Source organism: Homo sapiens, chromosome 2, assembly GCF_000001405.40.
Source record: "Homo sapiens chromosome 2, GRCh38.p14 Primary Assembly".
NCBI lineage: Eukaryota > Metazoa > Chordata > Mammalia > Primates > Hominidae > Homo > Homo sapiens.
This window is the reverse complement of record NC_000002.12, coordinates 49,290,550-49,299,393: the sequence shown is the minus strand read 5'-3', so window position 1 is coordinate 49,299,393 and position 8,844 is coordinate 49,290,550. Positions and strand designations below refer to the sequence as shown.

At 41.7% G+C, this 8,844-nt stretch overlaps 3 annotated features.

The window, feature by feature from the left end:
• Nucleotides 1-500: an enhancer, noted in NCBI's record as "H3K27ac hESC enhancer chr2:49526033-49526532 (GRCh37/hg19 assembly coordinates)". NCBI's record gives its function as "activates a minimal SCP1, AML or CMV promoter by ChIP-STARR-seq in naive H9 embryonic stem cells {active_cell/tissue: H9 hESC(naive)}" and the evidence as "EXISTENCE:reporter gene assay evidence [ECO:0000049][PMID:30033119]".
• Nucleotides 501-1,002: an enhancer, noted in NCBI's record as "H3K27ac hESC enhancer chr2:49525531-49526032 (GRCh37/hg19 assembly coordinates)". NCBI's record gives its function as "activates a minimal SCP1, AML or CMV promoter by ChIP-STARR-seq in naive H9 embryonic stem cells {active_cell/tissue: H9 hESC(naive)}" and the evidence as "EXISTENCE:reporter gene assay evidence [ECO:0000049][PMID:30033119]".
• Nucleotides 7,277-7,886: an enhancer, noted in NCBI's record as "OCT4-NANOG hESC enhancer chr2:49518647-49519256 (GRCh37/hg19 assembly coordinates)". NCBI's record gives its function as "activates a minimal SCP1, AML or CMV promoter by ChIP-STARR-seq in naive H9 embryonic stem cells {active_cell/tissue: H9 hESC(naive)}" and the evidence as "EXISTENCE:reporter gene assay evidence [ECO:0000049][PMID:30033119]".

Below are 8,844 nucleotides of genomic sequence, written 5' to 3'. Positions count from 1 at the left end.
CTTTCTAACAGTCAGGTCCCTCAGCTGCAGGTCTGTTGAAGTTTGCTGGAGTTCCACTGCAGACCGCATTTTCCTGGGTATCACCAGCAGAGTCTATAGAACAGTAAATATTGCAGAACAGCAAATATTGCTGCCTGATCCTTCCTCTGGAAGCTTTGTCCCAGAGGGGCAGCCACCTATATGAGGTGTCTGTCAGCCCCTACTGGGAGGTGTCTCCCAGTTAGGCTACATGGGGGTCAGGGACCCACTTGAGGAGGCAGTCTGTCTGTTCTCAGAATTCAAATGCTGTGCTGGGAGAACCCCTGCTCTCTTCAGAGCTGTGGGACAGGGACGTTTAAGTCTGCAGAAGTTGTCTGCTGCCTTTTGTTCAGCTATGCCCTGCCCACAGAGGTGGAGTCTAGAGACAGTAGGCCTTGTTGAGCTGTGGTGAGCTCTGCCAAGTTCGAGCCTCCCTGGCTGCTTTGTTTACCTACTCAAGCCTCAGCAATGGCAGATGCCCCTCCCCAGCCAGGCTGCTGCCTGCCTTGCAGATACATCTCAGACTGCTGGGCTAGCAGTGAGCAAGGCTCTGTGGGTATGGGACCCACCAAGGCAGGCATGGGAGAGAATCACTTTGTATGCCGGTTGCTACGACCTTGGGAAAAGTGCAGTCTTTGGGTGGGGAGTGTCCTGTTTTTCCAGGTAGTCTGTCACGGCTTCCCTTGGCTAGGAAAGGGAAATCCCTTGACCCCTTGTGCTTCCTGGGTGAGGTGATGCCCCACCCTGCTTCAGCTTGCCCTCCATGGACTGCACCCACTGTCCAACCAGTCCCAGTGAGATGAACCAGGTACCGCAGTTGGAAATGAAGAAATCACCCATCTTCTGCGTCGATCACTCTGGGAGCTGCAGACCAGAGCTGTTCCTATTCGGCCATCTTGGAATGCCCTCCCTCGAGAGAATAATCTTGAATTCTTTGGGATGATGCAATCTTTTGCAAGCACACCGAGTGTCCAGTTAAGCATAGAGCATGGTGTCCAAAAGATGGAGCATGAGTGTTGCTTCAAGCAAGAGGCTAGACTAGGGGAACTAAATACTCAACTTCTCTGATGATAGCAAAGGTTCAGAAAACAGCTATCCCACTTCTTAAGTGTCCGCTCTATACCAGGCACTGTGTACATTATTTCATGTCACTCTTATAACAGCTCTTTAGAGAATAACTGTTATTATTTCCCTAGCACAAATATTGAAGCTGGGCTTCAAAGACATCAATTAATTATTTCAAGCTCACAGTGTCAGATATAGAAATATTTAAACCAGGTACTCCTGACACAAAAGCCCCATGCTTACTGGGGCTTATCACTTTAAGATTCTGATACTCAGAATGAATTGAAGAGGAGTGGGTGTTTTAGAAATCTACATTAGTGCTGCCCATACAGTAGCCACTGGCCATATATGGCTACTCAGCACTTGAAATATGTCTAATCCAAATTGAGATGTGCTATAAACATAATATACACACCTGATGTTGAAGACTTACCAATAGAAATAAGAATAATAATTTGAATGTGTTGGATAAAATAAAATATAGCATGAAAATAAATTTTACCTATTCCTTTTTGCTTTGCTAATGTATCTACTAGAAATTTTGCTTACTTATTTATATTTATTTATTTGTTTTTGAGACATGGTCTCACTCTGTCACCCAAGCTCAAATGCAGTGGTGTGATCACAGTTCACTGCAGCTTCATCATCCCCAGCTCAAGCAGTCCTTCTGCCTCAGCCTCCAGAGTAGCTGGGACTACAGGCATGAGCCACCACATATGGCTAATTTCTTTTTTTTTTCTCTAGAGACGAGGTCTCACTGTGTTATCCAGACTGGTCTCAAACTCCTGGGCTCAAGGGATCCTCCTGCCTTGGCCTCCTAAATTGCTGAAATTATAAATGTGAGCCACGACGCCTAGTAACTAGAAAATTTAAAATGACATTGGTGATTCACGTTCAGGGCTTATATTGTATTGTATTCGTCAGCCCTGAGGTCATAGAAGCCTCTTGGCAATTGCTGGCAACCACACTGGCGTACAAAGACAGTGTGCTTATCCCTGGATTGAATTAAAACACGAATTCTTAACCAGCACCAATATGCTTTGCCCCCTCTGGGGCACATTCGCCAATGTCTGAAGACATTTTTGACGGTCATGACTGGGGTAACGATACTACTGGTATTAGTGGGTAGGGGCAAGGATGTTGCCAAACAGCCTGCAATGCACAGGACAGCTCCCACAGTAGAGTTATCAGGCCCAAAATACGAATAGTGTCAAGGTTAAGATTAGCATAAGCAGGTGGGTTTCTCCATTCTGTACAGAATTAGGGAACTAAACAGGAAGGCAAACAGGGACTTGAGCATAAGGAGCTGGGAGTTCTGTGCTAGAATCAATATACAATGTGAGGACTAGGTCTCAGAAACAACATGGGTTTATTTATGAGAACTAGGGCACACTCCAGAAGCAGTGCCTTCCAGGGCCAAGCCCCCTCCACCACACACACACACACACACACACACACACACACAATTCCATCCCAACCAGAGGTGGACTGGAGTTTCTTGGATCCAGGGATTATAGAAGGACCAACCCTGTTGGTCAAGCAGCTTTCAGCAGTGGAGAGAAAAGGCGTGCAGGGAGGTAGAGCCAGGCAGGGCCTGACAAACCAAACAAATGAGATCAATTATTATACGTGATTTTTTTTTTCCCAGAGATTTTTTTGTCCATGCAGACTCTGGACTGAGTGTCAGCAGCCTCAGCACTCACTTGTGTCAGGGCTCAGAGAACAGTCTCTTCAACCAAATAATACAAATTGAATTTATGAAAAAGAGAATTGGCTGTGTGAGTTAAACCAGCATTTTCTGGAGATGCTTTATTGGTTTCAGTAGACCTTTATTATACATTTTAGAACACATTTCAAGTCAAAGAGACAGCTAGGTTTTTGTTGAAGACTGAATTTCCACAGCAAAATTTGAAATCTGTGATGTGTGCATATTAAACCATAGACACCTTCACATCAGAGGATGGGATGATTAAATTCTGCCTCTGTTTCTGAGATACTGCAGCACGAGGGAGGGTGTATGTGCTGTAAACAGAGTATATTTTTAGGCTGGCTCGAGACAGAGTATTCTCTCTTGGTGTGCTCTGCAAGGGATGTCTCTATCTCTCTAGGTATTTGTCTACATCTTGTTGGCCTGTGTCTGATTATAAATGCTAAGAAATAGGGTCGTAGTGAAGCATGCACGAGGCACAGGTGACCTTAGTCACTGGATCCCCTTGGGCTCCTCCGCTGCACAGGTTTCCTACCCCTGCTGCTCCCACCTGGACTCATCTCTGCATGTAAGAGTGAGCTCAGGGATACACAGCAAACAGAGTGCCCCATTACCCCTCTCAAGGGAATCTGCTTTTTTCTAAAACAAGAGGAACGAAGAGAAAAGCAGGTGTCTCGGTCTTTTTGGGCTTCTATAACAAACTATACAGACTGAGTGACTTATAAACAACAGACAATGATTTCTCACAGTTCTGGAAGCGGAGAAGTCCAATATCAAGGCACTGTCACAGTGTCCTGGTTCATAGATAGCAGTCTTTTTTACTGTGTTCTCACATGGCAAGGAAAGCAAGCAGGCTATCTCGGGTCTCTTTTATGAGAACACTAATCCCTTTTATGAGGCCTCTACCCTCATAACCTAATCAACTCCCAAAGGCCCTGCCTCCAAATATCATCCCATTGAGGATTAGTATTAACATATGAATTTTGTTTATTCAAAGAAACAACCGGTCTATAGCAGCAAGGATTAAAGAGAAACCAAAAATGAGGGCTATGGGATTGGAAGATCTAGGCTTGGGTCTGGACTCCATTCTCCCTTTCATAGGTGCGTAATTATGAGCAAGAGAGAGCCCACACCTGCCTCAGTTCTGCTGTTGTAAAGTGGGAGTCAGAAGACTGCCAACTTCTTGGGCTGATGTGAGATTAACAGTGGCATGTGTTGAGAGGGTGAACTCTGGCGCCACAGCATCTGGGCTCAAATCCTCGCTGTGCTATTTAATCTCTGTGTAACCTTGCACCAATTACTTAAAATGTCTGTATCTCTGTAAAGTGGGAGAAACAATGGCCTCTACCTACCCACCAGGGTAGTGGGCTATGACAGGTAAAGCACAGAGCTCTCTGGTCTTATGTTACAGTGTCATTGACCACTGTGCAGACCACAGAAAACAGAGATGTGGGGAATTTGGACTGATTCTAAAGGAAAGTGGGGATCACAGTTATACAGAAAGAGCATCTGGAATCATCTACTCATTATTTCTTTTATTATTTTACGTATACTTTTTAAAAAATATTTGCTCATCCCCAGGGCTTCCAGTCACATCACAGTGCATATAAATGCAGCTCCCTGACCAGCTATTTCAGCCATGAGATCTCAGAAAGTTGGACCTAGGTACTCTTTTGATCATGTAAAATCTCTAAATGAGAAACTTTGCTTATTTCAGCTCATGGAGGGCTCCTCAGTGAAAAGTGAGCTTACATTTTTTGTTATGTATGTGGACTGAGGCTCTGAGTTAGATTTAATCTGATTTAAAAGAAACAACAACAAAAAAATTCAGCAATTCTTGTGTACTCCCCAAGTTGAGTAGTTTTATTTCTTCCACAGAAGCATGGAGCAGTAATACGTTATACTCTATCAAATTAGCTTCTATCCTAGTCTCTAATGAAACCATTCAGGTTCCTAGAAGGAAAAAACAATTCGTCATGAATGTAAGATAAAGAATGATAGTGTGAATAGCACTGTAGGAGACTAGAGGTAAAAGATTGGAGAAAGTTGGAGAAGGCCTTGCCCCCAAGCCTATAGAGTCAGGCCTTAGGAGAGAGGAGCATCAACTATAGACAGAGCAAATTACATCACAAGGAAATGGCAAGAGCAGCACTAAACCCAAGTGGATGATGTCATAGCCACCTGACAAACCCTAGAGAAGCTATGGAAGAGTTGCCTCAGGTGAGTAGGATGCAGGAATGTTGGTATGATAGCATGGATAGATTTAGAGTCAGGAACCAATGTGTTGTCCCCTTGGCCCTCTGATGGAATTGATACTGAGATAGTAGATTATAGGTATACCATTATCTTTTGGAGTGACTTAACTTTTATCCTGACTATAAGCAGAATTAGGGAGATGAGTTGCTATATAAACCTTCTAAACTTAAGAAATGGAAACAGTTCTTTTAAGCTTCATGAGCCTGGATAAAAATAAGTTTTCTCCTTTCTCCACATGCTGACTGTCTGATCTGAAAATGGAGGTGATGAAAAGAGTAACAGGTAAAGGCAAGTTATTTTACTGACATATGGACACTGAATTGAAATGCCCCACAATTGAGAGGGACAGACCTAGAAAAAAAATTCCTGAGTAATAAAAAACATGCATTTAGTACCTCTTCACTTCTGCTATAGTAAGTTTTTCTCTGTACTGATGTCTTCTCATATTTTGTTTCATTCTCCTCATCTCAGCAAAATCACTAATAACTTCTCTTTGAGAAGTATCAGGGACTATTCCAGAGTCATGAAATTATTAAGCCTCTGAGTGAGTAGGAAATTTGAGAACACTTAGACCAAAGTCCTCATTTTGTAGGTGAATAAACTAAGGCCAAGTTATGTTACTCAGAGAGGTGCTCCAGGTGGCCAAGTTATGTTACTCAGGGTGGTGCTCCAGGTAACACAGCAACATAGATATAACTACAAACCAGAAATTTCCTATAATAGGAAGAATTGTCTGGGTGTGGTGGCTCACACCTATAAACCTAGATGTTTGGGTGGCTGACATGGGTGCATCGCTTGAGCCAGGAGTTCAAGAAGAGCCTGGGCAATATAGTGAGGCCTTGTCTCTACCAATAAATAAATAAATAAATGTGTGTATACACAAATATTAGTTGGGTGTGGTGGCACATACCTGTAGTCCCAGCTACTCAGGAGATTGAGGTGGGAGAACTGCTTGACCCCAGTGAGCTGAGATCATACCACTGCACTCCAGCCTGGTCAAGAGAGAGAACTTGTCTCAAAAGGAAGTAAAGTATTTAGAATTAACTTCTAAAGAGATCTACGTTAGAGGCTGTATTAGTCCATTCTCACACTGTTATGAAGAAATACTTGAGACTGGGTAATTTATAAAGAAAAGAGGTTTAATGGACTCACAGTTCTGCATTGCTGCAGAATCCCTCAGGCAACTTACAATCAGGGCAGAAGGCCAAGGAGAAGCAGGCACCTTCTTCACAGGGCAGCAGAACGGAGTGAGTGCAAGCAGGGAACATGCCAGACACTTATAAAACCATCAGATCTCATGAGAACTCACTATTACAAGAACAGCATGGGGGAAACCACCCCCATGATCCAATTACCTCCACCTTGTCCCACCCTTGACACGTGGGGACTTGGGGAATTACAATTCAAGGTGAGATTTGGGTGGGGACACAGAACCAAACCATATCAGAGGCCTTGTTCTTCTACTACTAATGGTACAGACTTGGGAAGAATAGTATACTCTCTGTGTGTCCCTTTATCAGCTGCAAAGCGAGGATGATCCCCACATGGTAGAATTGTGATGATTTAATGAAATAAAATATTAAAGAGTAGCTAGCAGGTATGAGAAACAACAAGGAGGCATTGCAGCTGGAAATGAATATGAAAGTGTGGAAGGAGATCAGGTCATCGTGAAACTCACATTATTTTAGGGTCTTTGGGTCATGACAAAGACTTTGGCCTTTCCTTTGCTCTAAGCGAGATGGATATTCCTGTGGAGAATTTTAAGCAGAAAAGCAACATGATCTGACTTATGTCTTCTAAAGAATCTGACTGCAGTGGGAAGAATAGACTATATGGTGAGGCAGAGACCAGGCAGGAGGATATTACAGCAGTCCTCTCAAAAGAGGACTGGACTTTGACCAGAACTTAGCAGTGAAGATGTTGAGAAGAGGTTGGGTTCCAGAAATATTTTGAAGTTAGAACTGACAGGATTAGCTTATGTAATAGATGTGAGGTGTGAGAGGGAAAAAAGAGTTAAGATTTTTGTTTTGTTTTGTTTTGTTTTTTTAAAAAAGGAACATATTTGGTAGAGGGAAATTGTGAATGGAGTCTTCAAGAGAGTAATTTTTAAGTACAAGTAGAAACATTGAATAAACAATTAAATGTATGAGCCTTGAGTTCATGGGAGACGACCTGGTTAAAGATATAAAATATGGTAGTCTTTAGGATACAGATGGTATTTAATGTACTATCCCTAAATGGGATCATTCAGAAAGTGAGTATGGAGAGAATAGAGATGTCAGAAGACTAAGCCATGGGGCTTGCAGGTCAGAGAAATGAAAAGAATGTGCAAGGAGATTAAGAAGAAACAACCAGTGAAGTAGTAAGATAACCAAGAGAGAAGACTGTAACTGAAGAAAGTATTTTCAGGAGGAATTCTTCAACTATGTCAAATGTCACTGACGAACGAATCTAGTTAGTTGAGGGCTGAGAACCAACCATTTGTCTTAGCCACATGGGGTTCATTGGAAATCTTGATGGCTGCAGTTTGGGTAAAGTGATGTAGATGGAGGCTTAATTGGAGTGGGTGCGTTAGAGAGAGTGAGTGGTAAAATTGACTAGATGGCTTACACATTCAAACACATTCAGAACTTCAAAAAGTAAGGCAGGTTTCTATTGGCACATGAATAGAAAGTCAGGCCAATATAACAAAATAGAATTCCCAGAAATAGATCCAAACATATATGAGAATTCAGTATATGATAAAGGTAACATTTCAAGCATAAATGGTGTTGAAATAAACTATGTACCATCTGGAAAAAGATAAAGTTGGATCCAACTTTATCCTTTCAAAATTTCCAATGAACTGCTTTGATGAAAAAAAAAAAAAAGATCATGGATGAATTCCTTTATAAACTGGGAGTAGAGAAATCTTTCCAATTCAAATTCCAGAACCCACACAAATTATTAATAAATTAGTCTAAACAAAAATTTAGTGAATTGGTATTTTAAAGGACAAATGATAAAGTGGAAAAGATGTTTACAAAATCTGCCACAAAGAATTAATCCTCTAATATAATTACGAATTGAAACAAAACAATAGCTAAACAGTAAAAAAATGACAAAAAATATAAACAGAGTATTCACAGAAAAAGAGATATTAATAGCCCTTAAACATATGACAAAACACTTACTCATAAGAAGGAAAATATTAATTAAAACTATACTGATGATAAATTAAAACTACACTGATGAAAACTACCTTGATGCCTATCCGATAGATGATAATAAGTTATCCAGAAGTTTAACATTACCCTCTGCTGGTGAGGCTGAAGGACAGGAACCATTGCCTTGCTTTGCTAGTGAGAGGACAGCATGATACAATGTCCATGAAGCATAATCTAGAAATAGTTGTCAAAATTACAAAGGTATTGTATTAGTTTCCTAGGGTTGCCATAACTGAGTGCCACAAATTTGGTTGCTTAAAACAACAGAAATTTATTATGTCACAGTTCTGGAGGCTAGAAGTCTGAAATCAAGGTGCTGGGGAAGAATCCTTCCTTGCCTCTTACTAGCATCTGGTGGTTGCTGGAAATCCTTGCTGTTCCTTGGTTGGTAGATGCATCACTCCAGTCTCTGCCTTCATATTCACAGTGTTTTTCCCTGTATATCTCTGTCCAATCTTCTCTCTTCTTATAAGGGCACCAGTCATTGAATTATGGCCCAGCCTACCCCAGTACAACCTTATCTTAACTTGATTAAATCTTCAGAGATCCTATTTCCAACTAAAGCCACATTCATGGGTTCTAAATGTTAGG